Here is a 25175-nt window from a genome sequence, read left to right as displayed (position 1 = left end):
TAGGAATCAATATTCTGGAAAGATAATCAGTCTTTTCCTTTCAAAAAACACTCTACTACACTACAGGAAAAAGTGTATGTACTTGAGGCCAGTTTGAATCACCTTACAAATATCTATTTAGCAAATGTGGAAAGAATGCTGGTCAATATTGGAGATACTTTCCTCAGTTTTCTTTGTTTTCATTACCTTAGTCACTGAATGTTTGTCAAAAGAAACAACAACAAAAATGCCTTCCTCTTCTCCCAGTTTTTTCTCTTACATTCAAAAAACCAGTATGACTCAGGCAGGTCTGTATTTCAAATATGAACCAGTATAACCAGGAACATTCTACCACCTATTGTGAGTATAACACTCGAGAGAAAGATGTACTACAAACATAAATAGGCCAAAATTGCTGAGAGTGTTTATTACTCCAAACTAGTTAGCATTTAACTTATTTAAAGACAGTTAAGGCCTGGAGCGGTGGCTCATGCTTGTAATACCAACACTTTGGGAGGCCGAAGTGGGCAGATCACCTGAGGTCGAGAGTTCAAGACCAGCCTGACCAACATGGAGAAACCCTGTCTCTACTAAAAATACAAAAAAATTAGCCAGACATGGTGGTGCACGCCTGTAATCCCAGCTACTTGGGAGGCTGAGGCAGGAGAATTGCTTAAACTCGGGAGGCGGAGGCTCCAGTGAACCGAGATCATGCCACTGCACTCCAGCCTGGGCAACAAGAGCGAAACTCCATCTTAAAATAAAATAAAATAGACAGTTAAAGATAAAGTGTTTATTAATTCTAAGTGATGTTAATTTAAGTAATAGGTACTTTAAAGAAAATCAAGACATTATAAATGATATCTAGTCCATCTTCATAGAAGAGGAAGACAGTTGAAAGGCATAGAAAGAAAGGAAATGAAAATGAGCAACCTTCAGTTTTATTTGCTCTGTAACTAAAATTCTACATTTGGAATACTGTTTTGTGTTAGGAAATGTGAAATGAACTGCATGTACAAAATGTAATAATAATGATAATAGTATTAAGAGATAATTGATTTCAAATTTGTGAAAAACATTTTACATATAGAAATCTATGTTACTAATAAAACTATTATTTACTTCTGAAAGTCACTACTGGATTAATCGTGACTTGTTTGTCAACATTTCATTATTCATAAAGAAATATAATACTCTAAGATTCTCTAAAACATTATTTCAATTGTAAACAATGCAAAACTAGAATAATCACTGCTTTTAAAAGAAGAAGGGACTGAAAAGAATAGCATTGCCCTTCCAACAACAAAGGTATTAGTAGTTACCCTATAGTTTTGCTAAAAATGTGAATATTATAACAGTGTGTGACTTAGGGTAAATTGGTATTGAAGACTCCTACTACTCTCTATAAGACAAGATCCTATCGGTAACATCAGTGCCATGGAATGGATAGCTGTCTTGGTCAGCATAGGCTGTTATAACACAATACCATAGACTAGTGGCTTAAACAATAGACATCCATCTCTAAGAGCTCTGGGAGTTCTAGTATCAAGGTGCTGGCAGATCTGGTTCCTGGTAAGAACACTCTTTGAGGCTGGAAAACAATTAGATAACCTTCTTGCCATGTTCTCACACGACCAAGAGAGAGGAAGCTCTGGTATTTCTTCCTCTTCATCTTAAGGTACTAATCCCACTGGCTCCAACCTCATGATGTCACAGAAACCTAATTACCTCCTAAATGCCCCACCTCATAAACATCACATTGGATGTTAAGGGCTCAACATATGAATTTGAGGGAACACAAATATTCAATCCTTAACATTAATATAGGTATAGCTAAAATGGGTATCTGGGCATATAAGAAAGGAACAAAGAAGTCAGGTATGTGAAAATCTTAGAGATCTGTAAACTATCAGTGAAAGATGATAGCTAAAGTTTAGGAAAGCTGTACATAGGAAGAATACCTGTATTTAAGAGAAAGGTAGAGGAAAGGGAAAAACAGCCCATGAAGAACGTTCAGAAAGAATGGCCAAGATCCACAGAAAACCAAAAGAGAGTGGTTATCCAGAAGTTAGAAAGGTATTTAAGAAGGAATCAACCAATGATGTCAAGAATAAAAAAAAAGTTCTAATCGATTTGACAACCAAAAAGTTTGTTATCTTGATTGGACAAGATGAAAAGATATCTTGATATTCTTACATGCCACCATGGAGAAAATAAAGAGTTTATAAGCAAGTTCTCTAAAAACACAGTGCATAGCATACAGTACACAAAAGGAAGAGATGGAGGGAGGGAGGGAGGGAGAAAGGGAGGGAGGAAGGGAGAGTTAGGAAAGGAAGGAAGGAAGTTGGAAGGAAGGAAGGAAGAAAGGAAGGAAGGAAGGGAGGGAGGGGAATGAATGAGTAAAAACGGCTGGGTCTTAAGCATTGGCAGCAGTATAAAGATTGCTTCTAGTAAGGCAGATTCTTTTGTTGAACCAATATTCTGAGCTAAAATTATGTGACCTCATTCTAGGATCTAGGGACAGAGCACTGAGCAATACGTACTCATTGTTTTCATAGAGCTTGCATTCTAGTGGTAGAAAGAAAGATAACCAACTATTAACTGATATTTAGTTTATGTCAATGTTGATAAAAGCTCTGGAGAACAATTAGCAGAGTAATGGGACACTAGCTGATGGTGGTGTCATTTTAAAATAGGATACTCCAGTAAGGCCTTTCTGAAAAAGTGTAATTCTTCAGAGAGTGAGCTGTGGGACTATTTGGAAGAGAAACATTCTAGGAGAATTGCAAAGGCTCTTTATTAGGAATGTGATGGGTCTGGATGAGAAATTGTCAATGCTTTCACTGACTTCCATTAAAGTAATATGAATGTTGCCTGTTAAGTAGGGAAAACAATTAGATAACCTTAAAGAAATCGGTAAAAAAAAATTTATCTAGCTACTATAAGGAATGCAAAGACATTAAATAAGTTAGAAAAGCTTGCAAGATCATTAATGAAAGTCACAAGTAATTTTCCTAAATATTGTCAGGAATGTAAGAAGAAAAGCTCAGATGTCAAAGAGCTGGAATGATTCAAAGCTGAACTTCATTTCATGAAAATGAAAATCTGAGAGAGTATGTAATCATACATTTGTGCTATTTATTGCACAAACTGTCTACCACACTCACAGTTGTCTTAAGTATAAAGCAGTCACCAGTAATTCTTTCTGCATAGGTCATAATGCATTGCATTTCCTTACTCGTAATGGGGCCAATCTAAGGAGATAGTGAAATGCAATCATTTCCAGGCTAAATATTTAAAAAAAAAAACTAGTAATACATGAAGTAGCTTGAGAAAAGAAGAGGATTTGGGTTAGACTTGCAGTTATGGCCAAATAAGGAGGTTTTTTAAAATCCTCTTTCCAAAAATAAACTGCAAAGCTAGATACAGTTGATACAACATTTAACAAAAAACACAACCATTTCAGCACTCTGGGATTGAAAGAATGAGAAAAGCATTTATGCTTGAAGAACTGTTGAACTTAGGATACGAAGAGTGAGAATCTGTGATGTTCTTGCATGAAGTCATTTCTATCTCTACCACAGAGGAGGTTCCACTAGCACAACTATGAGGACTGGTGGCATTGCTGCCATGATCAAAGAGAGGTCACTTGATTTGGAGTGGTGAACAATGTCCACACTCAGCAACACTATCAGTGGAAACTGATAACACTACCAAGGAAGAAAAAAAAAACAAAACAGTCAACCAATAATTTTATACCCAGCAAAACTATCCTTCAAAACTAAAAGTGAAACAAAGATGTTCTCTCGTAAACAGGCACTCAGATTATTCAATGGTGGCAGACCTTCCTTACCAGAAATACCTTGTCCTGCAATCTTTCAGGTGTTAACTCCAATGTACAGAAAGAAATGAAGAGCACTGGGTATGACAAATATGTGGGTTATATGAAAGACTCTACAGATATAGTATTCATCATTTCTTCTCTTAAGTACTTGAAAATGCTACTGAATATATACAACAATAATTATAACACTGTAACTGTAACATTGGGTTATATTATATGTAGATATATGTGTCAATAAGGGGGATAAAGATTAGATATAAATTAGAACAAATTTTCCATAATTTACCAGAATTAATTTAGGAGCTTAACTGAGGTAGAATGTAAATTCAAATCATAATACAGCTCCGAGAGCCACCATTGAAAATATACATAGTACAAAAATGAATAGAGAAAATTAAATGGTACACTAAAATACAGATATAAAGCACATAAAGTAGTAAAAGGGGAACAGAGTAACAAAAAAGACAGGAACAACAGACAACAAATAGCAAATTACCAAGTGAGTTCAAATATATTATTATTACACTAAATGGAAATGTTAAAAGCCCCATTTAAAAATCAGAGATTGTCAGACTGCATTAAATAGCAAGATTAACAAAATACTGTTTAAACTAGAAACACTTTCATTCAAAACCAAAAGTAAGTTTAACGTAAAAAGCTGGAAAAAGGTATACTATTAAACCACAACCATAAGAAAGCTGAAGTAGCTATAATTAATAACAGATAAAAACTGATTTAAGACAAGAAATATTACAGAGACAGATATTGCATAATAATAAACAGGGTCAACTTTTTAGTAAAACCTAACAACTATAGGTACATATACATCTAACAACAGAATCTCAAAATACATCATGAGCTACATAACAATGTTTCACTTAATGACAGACTGCATACACAATGGTGGTCCCATATGATTCTAATACCATACTTCTATTGTGCCTTTTCTATGTTTAGATATGTTTGAGATAAAATAAAAAATACTTACCATTATTAACAATTAATACTTACCAAAACTTACAATTGCCTACAGTATTCAGTACAGTTCCATTCTGTACAGGTTTGTAGCCTAAGAGCAATATGTTATACCACAGATGGGCTATAGCCTAAATGTAGAGTAGGCTATGTTATCTAGCTTTGTATATGTATATTCTATGATGTTTGCACAACAAGGAAATTGCATAATGATGCATTTCTCAGAACATATTGTTAAGTGACTCATGACTGTACATGAACCAAAAACTGACAGAATTTAAATGCTAAAATAGACAACTAAAAAATAACACTTGAAGATTTCAATACCCTGCTCTCCATAATTGATAGAATAATTAGACAGAAACTCAATAAGGTGATAGAAGAAATGAACAGGATTATCAACCAACTCAACGTAACTGGCATATATATTAATAGAATGCTGCAGCCAAGAATTGCAGAATACACGTTCAAGTGCCTACGCAACAATCTCCCAAACAGACCATATGCTAGACGTTAAAAAAAGTCTTAATAAATTTAAAAGAATGACCATCATACAAAGTATATTATCTGACCACAATGGACTTAAATGTTAGACCTAAAACCATAAAAACCCTAGAAGAAAACCTAGGCAATACCATTCAGGACATGGGCATGGGCAAGGACTTCATGACTAAAACACCAAAAGCAATGGCAACAAAAGCCAAAATTGACAAATGGGATCTAATTAAACTAAAGAGCTTCTGCACTGCAAAAGAAACTACCATCAGAGTGAACAGGCAACCTACAACATGGGAGAAAATTTTTGCAATCTACTCATCTGACAAAGGGCTAATATCCAGAATCTACAATGAACTCAAACAAATTTACAATAAAAAAACAAACAACCCCATCAAAAAGTGGGCGAAGGATATGAACAGACACTTCTCAAAAGAAGACATTTATGCAGCCAAAAGACACATGAAAACATGCTCATCATCACTGGCCATCAGAGAAGTGCAAATCAAAACCACAATGAGATACCATCTCACACCAGTTAGAATGGCAATCATTAAAAAGTCAGGAAACAACAGGTGCTGGAGAGGATGTGGAGAAATAGGAACACTTTTACACTGTTGGTGGGACTGTAAACTAGTTCAACCATTGTGGAAGTCAGTGTGGCGATTCCTCAGGGATCAAGAACTAGAAATACCATTTGACCCAGCCATCCCATTACTGGGTATATACCCAAAGGATTATAAATCATGCTGCTATAAAGACACAGGCCACACGTATGTTTATAGCGGCACTATTCGCAATAGCAAAGACTTGGAACCAAACGAAATGTCCAACAACGATAGACTGGATTAAGAAAATGTGGCACATATACACCATGGAATACTATGCAGCCATAAAAAATGATGAGTTCATGTCCTTTGCAGGGACATGGATGAAGCTGGAAACCATCATTCTCAGCAAACTATCACAAGGACAAAAAACCAAACACCGCATGTTCTCACTCATAGGTGGGAATTGAACAATGAGAACACATGGACACAGGAAGGGGAACATCACACACCGGGGCCTGTTGTGGGGTTGGGGGGAGGGGGGGGGGATAGCATTGGGAGATATAACTAATGTTAAATGACCAGTTAATGGGTGCAGCACACCAACATGGCACATGTATACATATGTAACAAACCTGCACGTTGTGCACATGTACCCTAAAACTTAAAGTATATATATAAAAAAAAGAAATCAGCAACAAAAAGAAATCTATGAAATTGTAAAATATTTGGAAGTTAAACAACATATTTCTAAATAACCCAGGGCCCAAAGAAGAAATCATAAGGAAAATAACAGAACACTTTAAAGAAAATAAAAAATGTAAACATATCACAATTTCTGGGATGCAGCTTCAGTAGTGGTTAAAAAGACATTTATAGCATTAAATGCCCACATCATACAGGAATAAATTTCTCAAATCAATAATCTAAGTTTTAGCGTTAAGATGAGAAATAATAAGATAAAACTAAACACAAAGCTATTAAAAAAAGAAAATAGTAAAGATTGGAGCTGAAATCAATGAAATGAAAAAAAAGATAGAAAAAAATCAACGAAATTAAAAATTATTTCTAACAGATTATCAAACTGACAATCCTTTAGCTTAACCCAGAAAAAAGGGATAAGTCACAATTACCAGAATGAGGAATGAGAGAATATCACTATTAACTCACCAAAAATAAAAGAGATTAAAAGGGAATGTTAAGAACAGCTTTATGCCAACAAATTAGATAACTCAAGATGAATACATAACTGTCTAGAAAGATACAAATTACTGGCTGGGCGCAGTGGCTCATGCCTGTAATCCCAGCACTTAGGGAGGCCAAAGCGGGCGGACCATCTGTAGTCAGGAGTTCAAGACCAGCCTGGTCAATAAGGTGAAACCCCAACTCTACTAAAAATAAAAATGTTAGCCGGGCATGTTGGTGGGCGCCTGTGATCGTGGCTACTCAGGAGGCTGAGGCGGGAGAATGGCTTGAACCCGGGAGGCAGAGATTGCAGTGAGCTGAAATCACACCACTGCACTCCAGCCTGGGCGACAGAGTGAGATTCTGTCTCAAAAGAAAAAAAAAAAAAAGAAAGATACAACTTACCATAACTGACTAAAGAAGGAAGAAAATCTGTATAGACCTATAACAAAGAAATTAAATTATTAATTTAAAAACTTTCCATCAAAAAAGTTCTACCAATTCCACATGGCTTCACTGGTAAACTGTATCAAACATTTAAGGAAAGAATGTCAATCCCTAATACACACTTACAAAAACAGGACAGAATGAAAGACTTCCCAACTCATTCTTTGAGGCTAGCATTAACTTGATATGAAAAGCAGACAAAGTCACTACAAGAAATCTACAGACTAAAACCCCTCAATAAGCATGGATACAGAAATCCTTTAAAAATTTAGCAAATCATATCCAGCACCATATAAAGAGGATAACACCCTATGACCAAATGGGATACATTTGAGAAATACTAGGTTCACATGATTATTAATTATACATAAGAATTATATAGAATTGTTTAATACACAATAGTAACAGCATAAAGTATAGAAACCACATGATGTCAATATATTCAAAAAACTATTTCATAAAATCAACAAGCAATTCATGATTTTTTAAAAGGTTTCAATAAAATGGCTGGTGCGGTGGCTCACACCTGTAATCCCAGCACTTGAGGAGGCCAAGGTGGGCAGATCACTTGAGGTCAGGAGTTCAAAACAAACCTGGCCAAGATGGTGAAACGCTGTCTCTAATAAAAATACAAAAATTAGCTGGGCATAGTGGTGCACGCCTGTAATCCCAGCTACTCAGGAGGCTGAGGCACGAGAATCACTTGAACCCAGGAGGCAGAGGTTGCAGTGAGCCGAGATTGTGCCACTACACTCCAGTCTGGGAGACAGAGTGAGACTCTGCCTCAAAAAAATAAATAAATTCAAGGTCTCAGTAAACTAGGAATAAAATGGATCATTCTCAAAATGATGATGGGCATCTCTGAAAAACCCACAGCTACGCTAACCCTAACAAATCGATCACAAGAATGTAAAACGGTATAACCACTTAGAAAGTGATTTGGGAGTTTCTTGAACTGTTCAACATAAATTTACCATTCAACCCAAAAATTCCACTCTAAAGACTCTATCAATGATCAGTTACAACATCTGTCCATACAAATACATGTACCTAAATGTACATAACAGCATTATTCACTGTAGGCAAAAAGTAGAAGTACATATCAACTGGTGAATTGATAAAATGTAGCATAATCATACAATGGAATGCTCCTCAGCAATAAAAAGGAACACTACTGATATATGCTACATCATGGAAGAACACCAAAATGTTACACCAAGTGAAAGAAGCCAGATGCAAAAGACTATATATTGTATGATTCCAGTGTATTAAAATGTCCAGAAAAGGCAAATTTATAGGGACAGAAAGCAGATCAGGGTTGCCTAGGGCTGTAGGTAGGAGCAGGGATCAACTACAAATGGACACAAGAAAACTTTTGGGATAATGGAAATGTTCTAAAACTTTATTATGATGATGGTTATACATCTTAATAAATTTAATGTTACATTATATAAATTATACTTCAGTAAGAGCTGGCTGTTTAAGTGTGTGAAACCTCCCCAACCCTCCCTCTCTTCCTCTTGCTCCAGCCATGTGAAGTGCTGGCTCTCCCTTTGTCTTCTGCCATAATTGTAAGTTTCCTGAGGCCTCCCCAGAAGCCAAGCAGATGCCACCACGCTTCCTGTACAGCCTGCAGAACTGTGAGCAAATTAAACCTCTTTTCTTTATAAATTACCCAGTCTCAGGTATTTCTTTATAGCAATGCAAGAACAAACTAATACAAGACCTAATGCAAAACACAAAACTATAAAACTCCTAAAAGATAACAGGAGGAAATCTAGATAACCCTGACTTTTTGATGACTTTTTACACCTAACACCAAATGCTTGATCCATTAAAGAAAGAACTGATAAGCTGGACTTTACTAAAATTAAAAATTTCTGCAAACAAAAACACTCAAGAGAACAAAAAGAAAAGCAAAACTGGGAGAAAATATCTGACAAAACATCTGATAGGGGACTGTTATCCAAAATATACAAAGAAAACTCAACAATTTAAAAAGCCTATTTTTAAAAATGGGCCAAAGACCTTAACAGACCCCTCAATCAAAGACATACAGATGGCAAATAAGCGTATAAAAAGATGCTTCACAGAACATGTCATCAGGAAACTAAATTTAAACAGCATTTAGATACCACTACATACCTATCAGAATGGCCAAAATTCAGAACACCAAATGCTAGTGAGTATGTGGAACAACAGGGATTCCCACTCATTGTTGGTGGGAATGCAAAATTGTATGGCCACTTTGAAGACAGTCTGGTGGTATATTACCGAACTAAACATTTTTACCATACGATCTGGCAGTCATGCATGTACCTTAGTATTTATCGAAAGAAGCCAAAAACATAGGTTCACACAAAAACCTGCAGATGGAGGTATATAGCGGCTTTATTTAAAATTGCCAACACTTGGAAGCAACCAAGATGCCTATTTACACATGAATGGATAAACTCTAGTACATCCAGACAATTAAATATTAGCACAACAGAAATGAGCTATCAGCCAGGTGCAGCTGCTCACACCTGTAATCCCAGTGTTTTAGGAGGCCAAGGTGGGAGGATCACCTAAGACCAGGAGTTAGAGACCACCCTTTGCAACACAGCAAGACCCTGTCTCTACAAAAATTTAAAAACAAAAAAATTTAGCCAGGTGAGGTGGCAAATAGTCCTCCTCAGGAGGATTACTTGAGAACAGGAGTTTGAGGCTGCAGTGAGCTATGATTGTGCCACTACACTCTAGCCTGGGTGACAGAATGAGACCCTGTCTCAAAAAAATAAAAGCTATCAAGCCATGGAAAGACATGGAAGAAGCAAAAATGCATATTACTATGTCAAAGAATCCCATATGAAAAAGTTATATACTGTTTGATGCCAATTATATGACATTCTTAAAAAGGCAAAGCTATGGAGACAGGGAAAATATCAGTGTTTGCAAGGGCTGAGAAATGAGTATGTTGAGCACAGAAGGTTTTGGGGGCAGTAAAAATATTATGCATGATACTACGATGACAGATACATGTCATTATATATTTCTCCAAGTCCACAGAATGCAAAACACCCAGAGTGAGTCCTCTAGTAAACTGCAGATTTTGGGTGACAATTACGTATCCCTGTAGGTTCATCAGTTATAACAAATGTACTGAATTGGAGAGGCTGCGCAGGTTTAGGAGCAGGGGATATATGAACTATTTCTGTCTCCTCCTCTCAATTTTGCTATGAAACTCAAACTGCTTTAAAAAAATAGTCTAAAAATGTGATCAGGAAAAATATGACAGCATATTAGGGCTGCCATATTGGTTTGGTTTTTAAAATAAGTGTGGTGGGGAGAGGGAGGAGATTGGGAAATGCAAAATTGATAAGCAAGGAATAAATAGGGTAAGTTTCCTTTTCAGCCTTTAAAAGCTATAGAACCCTTAACTAAATAAATGATAAAGAAGGCTGAATGTGAGCTACTTAGAGAAGAATAATGTCTACAGCAATTATATTAAGTACATTTAGGTAGTGCAACAGCTTAATTTTACTAGTAATACATACACGATTGTTCCCAACAAATTTATTTAAAAACAACATCATCAAAAACAAATTGGAAGTTAGTTTCTGAGCTTCCTTTTCTCCCCAAGGAATCCTATTTGCATACACGGTTTGAGGATTAAAGTCAAACACACTAAGTGAAACTGGAAAGAAAATAATTGTAACAGTACATCACCATCTTTCAGAACAAGTGGAAATTATGATTATAAAACTATGACTTAAAAAACCTAAAATAGAACAATACATATAAACCACTAAGGTGAACAAGAATTACATAGAAAAGCAGCCCCTGTGTTTTTCATAGATGCTAAATAATTTTCACATCAGTTTCTATTAAAACTCACTAAATCCAACAACAGCAAAGTTTTAATTTATAAATGATCTCAATATTCCATTTCTGTCAAAATATTTTATAAAAGTCACAGGCAACTCATTCAAAGAAGAAAAAACAAACCTCTCTTAGGCACAGTGTAGAAATCCATCTGCTCAGAGGTGTTGGCTGGATGTAGCAAATTACATCTGCAAGGCTCACTGCAAGTGCTCCCTAATGAAACTCAAGATGTTGATTTTGACCCAAACACCCTACACAGATTGGAGCTGGCTATATTAGAGATCATCTCTCCCTTTCCACAGCAATTGAAATCAGATGACACATTTCAGCAAACAGTTCCTCATTTTGAACTTTAGAAGTCCAAGTTCAGCATAGACAGAGCCTCAAATCTACAGAGAACTTTTTGTTCATCCTATTAATCATCTATGTAATGCTTTTTCCCCCCTTTTTTTCATTTCGTAAAGACCAGGAATTATTTTTCAATTGTTTATGGATCTTAAGATAAGTTAGAAGGTAACTTTTTAATTTCTTAAGTTCTTCCTCCCTTAGAGTAACCAACCACGATTTACCATGAATAACTTGAAAATTTCATGTGGCCTGAGAATGTACAGTGAGCTCCCCTTTTGTGGCATGTGTTGTGCTAAATAATGGTAATACAGCAACGAGCAAGAGAGGTATGGCTCCTGCTCTTTTCACCCTAGTAGGGGAATCAGATACTGAAGAAAAATAGTTAAAATTAGGATAAAGTTTGTAAAAGTGATGACTGGAGTACAAAGACAGCACAGAGTTGGAGGGACCTGATAAATGAAATGCCCTGAAGCCTGAAGGAGGAGAAGGAGAAAGATGCCTAGAGGACAGATTGGGAAGGATGAAGTCATGTTTGTAGCATATGCTAAGGCACTGTGATAGGACAGCGCTGTGCTTATTCCAAGAACACAGAAAGGTTACTAGGGCTGGAGGTGGGCAAAGCAAGCAGCAGGGAGTGTAGCAGAAAATACAACTGGAGAGGTGGGCAGGGCCAATTCGTATGGGGTCTTGGTCATGTTAAGGACTTTTAAATGTACCCTAAGACTGAAAGGAAGCCATCAAAAGGATTGCACGCAAAAATAACTAAATTACTCTGCATGACAAAAGGAGAGGAATTTCAAATTACTTTGGTCAAGAGATTAAAGAGGAAGAGAAAAGGGCCAAATAAGCACTGTGTTGTACAAACATGTCTAAGAGACTAACAGCCACTTTAAACACCGTTTGATACAGGGTACACCAGTACCACCTCTTCCCTATGGTAGGACATCTTCAGCAAACTCTACTTCATTCTTTAATACTTCTTTGTGAGTGGATTCTATAAGTGAATTAAAGGAAGTGAAGAGTTATAAGCCTATTACGGAGATAGAGTTCCATACAGGGTTCCAGGAACATGGCAGCAGAAGAGACCAAGGAAAGAAAATGTATCTGGGAAACAGCAAAGATTGAAAACCAGGCCATGGAATTTGGAAATCCTACATGGATGTTGAGAACCATAATGGTTTTTACCGAGCACTTACCAGACACTGTTCAAAGTAATGTATATCTCATTTAATCTTTAGTTACCCTAGGAAAAGATATCAATAGCCAGCAATACATAAGATTCAACCAAGGACTATTTATTGCACTACTCTTCCCAATAGCTTGTAAGATATCAACAAGCAAGCACCATATCTGTCTTGTTCAAATCTGTATTCTCTATGTGACTGCCACATGGTAGGTGCTCAATATGTATTTGTTGAATGAATGGGACAAATAAGGGAAATTTAGGAAAATAAAGAAATACAAAAAAAGGCTGGAGGATTGAGTGGGATAGAGAGGACAGATGGTTGAAGGAAGTATCAGCCTAGGTTTTAGGAATTAAAAGAAAAAAACAGACACCCTTAGAATGCTGTGCCAACTAACTCCCTTACCTGTAAAGTTGTAGATTATGTTTCAAGGTGTACTGGAATCAAATTTATGTCATTTTTACATTCCTCAGTATACTAAAAAAATTTGAAGGTATAAATAAAGAGGTCTCATTTATTATTCTGGTTGCATTCACAATGATAATCCTGAGTAATTTTTTAAATTATTAAATTTTGTACCATATTTTCTGCTTATAAAGTCAGATATTAACAGATGCAATATACCAAAATATTTCCATAAAAAATAAAAGGTTTGAGTATATAATCTTAGTTACATACGAATGTGTTCTTTTTGGTCTATTCCATCATGAATCTAAATAATTGGTTTCAAAGAATTGCAAATTTAATAGAAATTTGGAATCCCAGAATGATAAACAAGCAATTCTAAAGATAGAGAAAAATAATTTCTCAGGGGTTATGAGGACAAGTAAAAAAAAGATAAAGAAAAAAATTTTTTTTTCTTTTTAAGACAGAGTCTTGCTCTGTCACCAGGCTGGAGTGTGGTGGCACAATCTTGGCTCACTGCAACCTCTGCCTCCCAGGTTCAAGCGATTCTCCTGCATCAGCCTCCTGAGTAGCTGGGACTACAGGCGCACGCCACCATGCCCGGCTAATTTTTTGTATTTTAGTAGAGACAGGGTTTCACCACGTTGGCTAGGATGGTCTTGATCTCCTAACCTTGTGATCTGCCCACCTTGGCCTCCCAAATGCTGGGATTACAGGAATGAGCCACCACACGTGGCAGAAAAGAAATTTTTAATTGAACATATGGTCTTCATAACCACCAGAGTCAGATGGTGGGAGTAATATTAAAATTTTAACTAAAAGTCAAAGTTGTTTTCTATAATAGAATATAGACAATGAATCATTAAGTTTCATTTTTGCTTTAGTTATCCTGACTTGGTTTCTGTTTCCTGCACCCAAACAATATCAAGGTATATATACATTCAGGAACCATCCTTTTTCTCCTGTCATTTCTCAAATAATATTTTTAAACAAATTATTTATTAAATTAGTTCTTCATTTCCTTTTCAGTTCTCAAGCCACCATCACTGACTGTCATTAAAATCATTCTTGCTGGGCACGTTGGCTTATGCCTGTAATCCCAGCACTTTGGGAGGCCAAGAGGGGTGGATCACGAGGTCAAGAAATCAAGATCATCCTGGCCAACATGATGAAACCCCGTCTCTACTAAAAATACAAAAATTAGCTGGGCATGGTGGCACGAACCTACAGTCTCAGCTATTCAAGAGGCTGAGGCAGGAGAATTGCTTGAACCCAAGAGGCAGAAGTTGCAGTTAGTGAGCGTGCCACTTCACTCCAGCCTGGTGACAGTGTGAGACTCCATCTCAAAGAAAAAAAAAAATCATTCTTCTGAAAATACTGTGATAAAAGAAACCAGTTACCTAAAATTGTGAAACCTTATAGTTTTTAGTCCTTATCTTATTGGCTACATTTATAAATGATCTAATCATTTATACATGATCCAATCTTACGTCTTAAGCCATAAGACTAGTGCCTCACAGTTTTTCCTCACAGTTTTCCTTACTTACCTGACCTTCTATTGGTAGCTTCCATCACAAATTATTCCTTCCTTTCTCATCCCATAACATTACGTTCCCTGCCTTGTTATATGCAGATCCCACTTCATTTGTCACTCTATAAATGACTTCGGATAATCCTATCTTTTTTCATGTTTTCCCTGTGGTCATTTTGTGTCTCTATGATCCCTCTTTAGAGCTCTAGATCCATATATGCAGCAGCTCATCAGATTTATTTACTTAAATGTCCCATGGATACTTCACCATATGGACCAAACTAAATTCATCCATCCCACCATGCACACCAAAAACTGGCCCTCTTTCTTTGTTCCTAACCATAATATTAACTATGTAAATAATGTATATTGACATCTAAGCTAAGAACCACGGAGTTATTCTACAGATTTTTTTCTCTCCTTCCCTATCCATAACTAATCCAGTCATTAAGTTTGGACAGTTTTTGTCAACCTTTTAAATATTTCTCTCTATTCTGTCCCAGTATCTATTACCACTGCCCTGGTTCTGACAATCATTTCTTCTAAGCTATAATGGCTATCTGGAATATTTAACTAATCTTGACTCCAGGTTTCCTACTTTATCCAATTACCCCCAATCCATCCTCTATACTTACTAAGAAACATTTACTGAACAAAAATGAGCTAAACATAAAACAATAGTATCAGAGAAGTAGAATGGAAAGGGGTATAATAGGAGGTGGAATGGATTCAGACATCCTGTATCTGCTTGAACATAAATGATTGAAAGTTATCTACATTTTGAAACCAACAAAATGACAATGAAATGGAAAAAGCATTATAAATCAAAAAGGACTAATAAGAACAAGAGAGGAAATGACTGAAGATGAAATATATCACAAATTTTTTAAAGCTGGAATGTGTGTAAATAGCAAATGACTGAGGACCAGAGAAGGAAGCTATAAAAGAGCAGTCTAATTCATGCCATCAGTCCCAATACTCAAGAAAGATTGAAAAAGAGAATACAGGCATGACACTGAAACCAGAAGGGCTGTGTGAAAACTGGAAATGAGTAAGTAAACCTCCAAATCAGTTTTCTATCTGGGTACATGTGTAAAGACAAAGAGTAAATTACTTTTAACACGTATGCATCAAAGGCTTATAATATTTTTATAAACACCATTTTAAATGCAGAAAAAGGGATAGATTTCTGGTTATTCATAAGAAGTTAATTTCTATAGTTTTTTAAGACCAAAAGAGAATTTAAATATCTTGAAATAATCTCTTTTCCTCAGAGTAGGTTTGGTCAATGAGAATAACCATGTGGTTAAAAAGTTGTTTCTACTTCATGTTTCAATGTTGATTATGCAGTCACTCTATATTCTCTTAGGGAGTATGAAAAATAGACTGGAAATTTCAATTTGATTCAAGCCCTCTCCATCTGGTATGTGATTTTTTTTAAGTTCAAAATAAATTAAGTTGCCATCTCAGTTCTTGCAATAAATAAATAAATAAATAAATAAATAAATAAATAAATAAAAATAAAACCACCTGAGAATATAATAGCACCTTATGCTTTAAAGATGGAGACTTCCGCAGTTCCTAAGTCATTCTTGATGTACTTGAAAAACAAGATGAAAATAAAATAATTTTTTAATATGAAAAAGACAAGCAGTAGATGTTGGCAGGAGTTTTGTAGAAATAAGAGAGATTTTAAATGAGTATTGAAGGTATAAAGAATGATGGGCACTATATATCGGTCCTTTTATAAAATCATTTGAAAAGACAGAGTATAATAGTGTCACATCATCTTTAAAAAACATAACTGAGGAATTCTATTTACAGCAACACGATAAATATGTTGAATGATCCCTCTCCTAAAAAAATAAAAATGACTATACTGTATTTTAACAATATGTGACACATACTATAAAATTTATATAATGTTTTACACATATACACATGCATGCACACACACACCAAATGATATCTTCTTAAACTTATTAATGAATTTCCAAAAAGAGTAAAGATAATTAAAGCCAGGGGCTGAGGGAAACCAGAAACACAGAGGTATGCAAAGTAAATGCCCGAGGCACTTCAAAGTTGGTTAAAATTGAGCATCCGTGTTTACCACTGAACTGAAGTCAAGTTAAGTCTGACTGAAGATAAAGCCTGAAGCTAACTCACAGTGCAGAAAATAATAAAAGATAAAGCTGGCATGCAAATGGCTAGAATATTCATGTACAGGTAAACTAGAAATAAAGTTTTCTGCTCTTCCCTTCTTTATATGATCCTCTCACAAACGCTGCCAGAAAATGAAACCTTCAATAGATGGGTGGGGGGAAAACCCACAACCACAAGGCTGTAGCTTAAATTTTTATTATCTAAGTGGCATAAAAACCTTTTATCAAGAATTTAGTTTCAAATGGTTCTGAACTCATAGTGCCACCAACATGTTGGAAGTAAATTCAAGCCTGTATAGGAGGAATCTTTCAGGCCAGGCTTCAAAACATTTCTACAGAGAAATTTCTAAGGAAAATAAGTAGCACAGAAAAGAAAAGTATAAACAAGGAATATTAGGTATAGTAGGCAAGAGTCAGCAGGAATTAGGCAATCACGTAAGTTAAAAGTTTCATGCAGAAAGAGATAAAAGGAAGCCTTGAAAATATTAATAAAGAGTTTTAAATAGAATCAAGATAAAAAGAATATCCTATGTAAAATTTTAAATTCAATAAAAGTGCTATTCAATAAGTGCTATGAAGTTCAAAAACAGGAAAACTAATTTGCGGTTTTAGATGTTAAACACAATTTGCCTCCAAGAGAAGATCTTCTGAGTACTGGGAATATTCTTGATCTCTATTCAGGTACTAGTAACATGTATGGATTTATCTGACAAAAATGTATCCAGTTGTATACTTAGCGTTGTACCATTTTCTGTATGTTAGACTTTCATACAGTTGACATTGAAAAATTCAAAGAACAACTTTAACAAAATATTAGACACAATTGAAAAGAAAATTAATGAACTAGATTAAAGAAATTAACTGGAATGCAGGTCAGCAAATCAAAGAGAAAAAATATCAAAGAGTGAAGAAACAACATGGAAAATACAGTAAAAAATCAAAAAAGTCCAACATATGTATGGAAAGAAAAAAAGTAAAGGCAATATCTGAATAGATTATGCCAGAAAACTTGCAGGACTCATAAGATTCGAATATTAAAACTTTAAAACACAAAGACTGAGAAGATCCTTAAAGAACCCAGAGGAAAAGGACAAACGACTTCCAAGGAAACATGAAATGACATTGTACCTCCTAAAAGGCCAATGAAAAGCAAGAGTCAGCACAACAGTATCTTTAATGAGCTGGGAGAAAATAACTATAAACAAGGATTTATATACCCAGAAAATATATTTCAAAAAAAAAGGCAAAGAAACAAAATTGAGAGTTTGCTAACATCAGGCCATCACAAAAACAGCTTCTAAAGGATGTACTTTAGGCAGAAGTAAATGAACTGAGAAAGAAGGAAGGGCTAAGCTGTGAAAAGGAATGACTACTAAAGCACTAGCATATAGGTAGGCAAATGTGGCTCATGGCCAAATGCAGCCAACCACCAGATTCTGTAAATAAAGTTTTATTGGAACACAGTCATACCAATGTATTGACATATTGTCTATGGCTGTCTCTGCACTATAAAGCATGGTTGGGTAGTGAAAACAGAAACCATATAGCTAATGAAACAAAATATTTACTATCTGGCACTTTGTTGAGAAAGTTTTCCAACCTCTGCCTTATTCTATATATGCCAAATCTAAGCAATTATATTACAAAATAATGATATCAAGTTTTAAAAATAAAAGAAAATTTATGACAATAACCTCAATCTGGAGAGAAGGATTAAAGTGTTTTAAGAACTGTATTGTTCAGATGGAGAGTAAATAGACTGATTTACTACATCATTAAATAAATTAAATATGCATCTTAATATTTCTAAAACTAAAACATACTTTGTGGAAATGGTGTTAATTTCTAATATTAAAAAAAAGAATAGTGAGAAAATAATTTCCAACATAGCACAGGAAAACTTTTTAGATTATGTTTATATTTACATATATTTATACAATTTATAATTATTAAAAAAAGTATATATTACATATTATATATCATGTATTATATATACTTAGTTAATTAATTTACAGAGTCAGGGTCTTGCTCTGTTGCCTAGGCTGGAGTGCAGTGGTGCGATCATAGCTTGCTGCATCCTGGAACTCCTGGACTCCAGCAATCCTCCCACCTCAACCTCCCATGGAGCTAGGACTATAGGCTCAAGCCACCACAACCGGGTAATTTTTAAATTTTTTGTAGAGATGAAGTCTTGCCAAATGTTTATACTACAAAATTTATAATATCAATTTATATTATATAAATTTATAATATAAATATTCATATTATAAAAATTTCATATTACAAATGTTTATATGACAAAGAAAGCCATCAAGGAAGTGAAAAGACAATGTATAGAACAGGAGAAAATACTTGCAAATCATGTGTAAGGGTATCGTATCTAGAATATAATAAAGAACTCTTACAACTCAACTGTAAGAAGTCACAAGGTCAGGAGTTCGAGACCAGCCTGGCCAATATGGTGAAACCCTGACTCTACTAAAAATACAACTAAAAAGTAGGCAAAAGATTTGAATAGAAGAAAATATTAGGTTGGGCAGGGTGACTAATACCTATAATCCCAGTGCTTTTGGAAGCTGAGGCAGCCCAGGAGTTCGATACCAACCTGTGAAACATGGTGAAACCCCACCTCTACAAAAATTAAAAAATTAGACAGGCATGGTAGTGTGTGCCTGTAGTCCCAGCTACTCAGGAGGTGGGAGGATCAATTGAGCTCCGGCGGTCAAGGCGGCAGTGAGCCGTGATTGCACCACTGCACTTCAGCCTCAGCAAGAATGAAACCTGATCCAAAAAAATAAATAAATAAAAAGAAATAAAATATTAAAGAAGATATACAAATGGCCAACCAGCACGAAAATAAGTTCAACATTATTAGTCATTAGGGAAATGCAAACCAAAACCACAATGAGATTCCACTTCACACCACTTTTACTATTTTTATAGTAAAAATAAACACCAGTTTCATAATGTAAGCTTCAGTTTTATAAATATTAAGATGTGTATTTAGTATATTAAATGATGTATTAAATCAATCTATTTACTCTCTGCCTGACCAACACAGTTCTTAAAAACACTTTAATTTGGCCAGGCGCAGTGGCTCACGCCTGTAATCCCAACACTTTGGGAGACCAAGGCGGGTGGATCACGAGGTCAGGAGTTTGAAACCAGCCTGGCCAATATGGTGAAACCCTGACTCTACTAAAAATACAAAAATTACCTGGGTGTGGTGGCAAGTGCCTGTAGTCCCAGCTGCTCGGGAGGCTGAGGCAGGAGAATTGTTTGAACCTGGGAGGCGGAGGCTGCAGTGAGCCGGGATTGTGCCACTGTACTCCAGCCCAGGCGACAGAGCAAGACTCCATCTCAAAAAAAAGAAAAAAAAGAAAAAAAAGAAACAAACCACTTAAAATTAATTGCTCTCTCCAGTTTAAGAGGTTATTGTCTAGGATGGCTAGAACAAAATAAAAAAAAAAAGAAAAGAAAAAGAAACAAAGCGGATAATAACAAATAGTGACACAGATGTGAAAAAATTAGAACCTTTGTACATAATGTGGTATTATAAAATGGTGCAGACAGTTTGGATGACAGTCTGGCAATTCCTGAGAAGCTCAAACATAGTTACTATACGACACAACAATTTTACTCCTCAGCATATAGCTAAAAGAAATTAAAACAAATCCACACAAAAATCCTGTAAAGGAATGTTTATACCAGGATTTCTCATAAAAGCCAAAAAGTGAAAACAACTTCAACTGTCCATCAACTGATGAATGAATCAAAAAAATTTGATATATCCATAAGATGGAATACTATTCAGCCATAAAAACAACAAAGACTGCTACAACATGAATCAATCTTAAAAATATTAAATGAAAGAAACCAGTCACAAAAAGACCATATACTCTAAAAACATTCCCTTTAACCTTAAAATTCTATAATTGTATGATAATAGTATTCATGTTATTAAGGACCAAAAATGTCTCTCAGTGAAATCATGTTTTCTTTTAATGAATATAAGAAAAGTAGATTTCAATAGAAATTTCAGTATAGAGAAAAGGAGAGAGAAATCAACATCAAAGTAGAGATCAAAAATTACACAGGCTATGTCTGCTTTTCAGTGACAGTATGTAGAAATTTCAGTGATATCAGGATTCATACACTTACACCATAATAATATGAACAAGGTGTTGACCTGTTTAGCACTGTCAAAAATTTGAGCCTTGTTATTATAATATATATTCAGATTACTTTATGACTCAAAATCTTTCCAGGTTCACATTTTGTTTGAAATGAATATGCCAAAGTTCAAAAGGTTATGAATTCATAACTGAAAACACAGCAATATGAGAAATTAAGTATATATATATTGGAGAAAGGATCATGACTCTAATCATCATATAATTACTTTGTATAAACAAATGAGGAATCTAAAAATACATTATGCTTGCTAAATAATATATTCACGCAATTATTTATATATTTAAAATACATTCATTCATAAATCAAGTAACTTAAATTAAGATCAATCTACTTATCATTCTTAGTTCAGCCTAATGATAATATCCAAAAGCAATTTTCTTCCCAAGTTAATTTTTCCTACGTTTACATTTTAATGATTATATTATATTGCATATGATCTTTTACAGATAACATATGTGAATATATGACTAAGATTAAAAGGTATGGAAGGCAATAAATGGCATCACTTAGTTCACTTACTTTGGTCAGGAAAAATCTTTCAATGAGAAGACTGATTTGCTTATACACTGACACATTTAAAAACACCAACAAATCTAAAAATGTCCATATAAAACATTAACCATAGGAAAAAAATGTTAACATATACCTTCTTCAAGGATGGGTCGTGGGATAACAAATGGAATCTCCTGCAGAGGTTCCATATACTTGTGCCCAGCACTAATAATCTTTATTTGAGGCAAACAGAGGACAAGTGTTCCCGGCATGCTGGTTTGTCCATGGTACCAACTTCTTACTGTTCCAGGAATGTCACCAGATACAATTGTACTTGGGGAAGGCAGGCTATCATTTGGAATAAACACACAACAAGATTGTACTTCAAGCTAGAAAAGAAAAGCAGAATTAAAATATTCGGATTAGACTAAATATGCCTTCAAACACCTAACATCTTCGCCAGAATAAACAACCAAAAAAAGTAAATGTTCCATATTTATGTCTTTATGACTTATTTTCACTAATGAATATTTTAAAAACTTGAAAAGGTATTGTTTACTCTTGTTATAAACTTGATACAAAATGCCTAGTGACAAGAGATGATCTGCCCTTCCACAGTCTTTTCCAAGACACAAGATTGAGTTAGAAAGTGTGCTGGCAAAAGAAGATCAGAAAACACTCTTTCTTTTGCAGTTTATTAGAAAATTTTGTTAACACCAGATAAGGCCTAGAACTACCTAGCATTTTATTGCTGTTACTTTTTTTAAAAAGGGCTATTTTTACGTGAATTTAGTCCTTCCATTTTTACTTTACAGACTAGAATATAAGAAAACATTGTTTAAAACATTCAATTTATAACACTAGACAACCATTAAAGAACATGTTTATATCACATACTTTCACTTTTATATACAATGATTCAAGTATACATACATGTATCAGATTTATTATACATAAATACATCATAATAGGAAAAATCAGAAGACTTAAAAATCAGAGCATTATTTCTTGCTTTTTTCATTCTTCAAATTACCTAAATTGTAATTTCATGTATTATCTTAATGTTCTCCTATCCCCAGTAGAGTTACATTAAGTTGCCAGGACCTCAGAGGTTAAGATAAGGAGACAAAGTAAGCCCAACCCCAAAACTGAATTCATCGTGACTTCTTAATTCAGAAGCAATGTAAAGTCTATTTGTCTTAGCGGTGCTTATAAAGTAATACTGTGTATCTCATTATCAAATTGCTCCAACAGCCTACGATACTTAAGTTATTGAGAAAATACAAACTATGATTGGTTGATTTCCTACAAAATATTTCACATAAAAATATGTTATCTGGAGGTGTGATACAAAATAATTTTTTTAATTCATACATTCTTGGATATTCAAAGAAACTATGTTAGCAAAAAGACTACATTTTTAAAAGATAATAGCAACATCTCTTCTCTTGGGCCTAATATACTATTCTGGTGAGAACATGATTATATTTAACAGGTTTGGAATTCCTTGATAGGATAAATAATTTGTCAACCTATAAATAAACAAACCTGTTTGTCTTTGCTTCACATTTTGGGGCATGGCCAAACTGATGAATTCAGTGATGAAAAATACAGGTAAAATTTTGCAAAAATAAACGCATTGGTTTGTGAAGCATGAGCTCATTTTAGTTCTAAAATCTTATACTGCAGATTAGATAAAGTACATGTGTGTTAAGTAGTTTATTGATTTAAGATCATGATGTAGTTTATTCTGAAATAGAAGTCTATATTGTCTCAGGTAACTTAGAATTATGCTTTAAAATATTTAACATAATTCATTAGTAATTTTCAGTTGCACAATTTAAAATGGCACATTAAGAGCATAGCCTTTATTAATTCAGGTTAAAAGGTCAAAATATGAAGTGTCAGTATTTAACACTTCATGTAGGTATTGATACTACCTTGAAAAATGCTTTCAATATTGTGAGGTAATTAGTTTAGTATGCTACCATACACAACCACATGCATACATATCCTTAGGAAAAAATTCAAATCATGCCAAAATTTCCAAAATCAAAAACATTAATTTCACTAATTTAAAAATCAATTATTTCATCAAGTGTAAACAATGTGAGCAACATAAACAGAATCAACAGTATAGTAGCATCAGATACATAACAACTCTAAAATAAACTTTCTAAAATATATGTTGTGAGAGTTCCTTTAATGATAAGAATCATATAATTAAAATTACTCAAAATTATTATGTTTTATCTATTATATATACTAAAGCTATCACATAAATCTTTTTACACTTTTAAAATAACTGTTAAACTGTATGTATAAAATTGTGGTTTTAATGTAAAATGTTGAGTGATTTATATTACTGAATATAAATCTGCAGCAGTAAATTCTGAATTAATGTAAGGATCTGACAATCCAAGGGAAAGAAAATGAAGTAATCTGCCAGTAAGAAGTCCTCAAGCTGGGGGTCAGATCATGTTCATGGAAACCATCTGGTTGGGACCCTCTGAGCCACACCAAACACAAATGATCTTTTAAAAAAATATCCTATTCATGAATGCATCACAGCTGCACTGAGTGTTACTTCATTTTTCCATGGCAACATCCTTTCTGTTTCAAGGATCTTGTTTCAGTTTTGGTAGCAACGTGTTCTTTTGCCAATACTGAACACATTCATGTGTTAAAGTGAAGGGATTATTACAAATTCTTGAAGTGGAACCACCTCTATTTTGATTCCTACTAGGTCAAGGGCTACATATCTAAGTATCATATACTGAAGATAAACCAATAAAGTAAAAATTATTTGTTATTCTTATTTTAATAAATGAAATGACTGCAATGCATTTTTCCCTGAAGTTTCTAGTTTATGTGCTATTTGAAAGATATATGCCTCTGTAAGTCCTTGGCCCTATATGTGAGGTTTGAGAAACTTAGATTTTTCTCTTTTAGTGCTCTATAATTGTGATCCCAATTCAGCTAAAAAGAAGAGACTAAGATAGGTTTTATTTACCCATTAATCTGAAAATCTTAATTAGCCACTGCCCATCATATAAAGCACTTTATAGATAAAAGCTTTGAAATGTTGTGCCACATTTTCTTCCCTTTTCAATAACATAACTATTTCCTATTCCCAAATAATATATTTATTTTTATTTACAACTTGAAAATGTAGTGATAATTATATTTTGCATAATTTCTACAGTACCAAATGTTCTCTATATAAGTGTATGTTACTCTTCAGGAAAGAGTTTCAAATAAAAAACAAAAATAAAGGAACATTGTATGTTGCATTTCATTACTTTTTCTCTCCTTTATTCATGTACTCTCTAATATCTATCATGAACTGACCTGGAAGTCAGGAATACAGAGACAAAAGACATAGTGCCAGCCCTAAAAAAGCTTAAAACAAGATCACTTTCAAGTATTAATATCCTTACAGAATTCTCACGAGAACATAAACTTTATGAAGTCAAACATTTGCCTATTTTGTACACTATATAGTTTCTGTACATTGTG

General features: G+C 34.4%; 1 protein-coding gene across 2 annotated transcripts in view; it reads right to left on the bottom strand.

The window, feature by feature from the left end:
• The window catches only part of VPS13B (vacuolar protein sorting 13 homolog B), an 864307-nt gene that overhangs the window by 413135 nt on the left and 425997 nt on the right, over positions 1 to 25175 (bottom strand). For both annotated transcript variants that reach the window (NM_152564.5, NM_017890.5), the window contains exon 23: positions 21811 to 22045. In NM_152564.5, coding sequence (NP_689777.3) covers positions 21811 to 22045 — 235 coding nt within the window. The remainder of the gene's footprint in view (positions 1 to 21810; positions 22046 to 25175) is intronic.

The sequence above is a fragment of the Homo sapiens genome, chromosome 8, assembly GCF_000001405.40.
Source record: "Homo sapiens chromosome 8, GRCh38.p14 Primary Assembly".
NCBI classification, from domain to species: domain Eukaryota; kingdom Metazoa; phylum Chordata; class Mammalia; order Primates; family Hominidae; genus Homo; species Homo sapiens.
The sequence above is the reverse complement of the archived record's forward strand: the minus strand, read 5'-3'. Positions and strand labels throughout refer to the sequence as shown.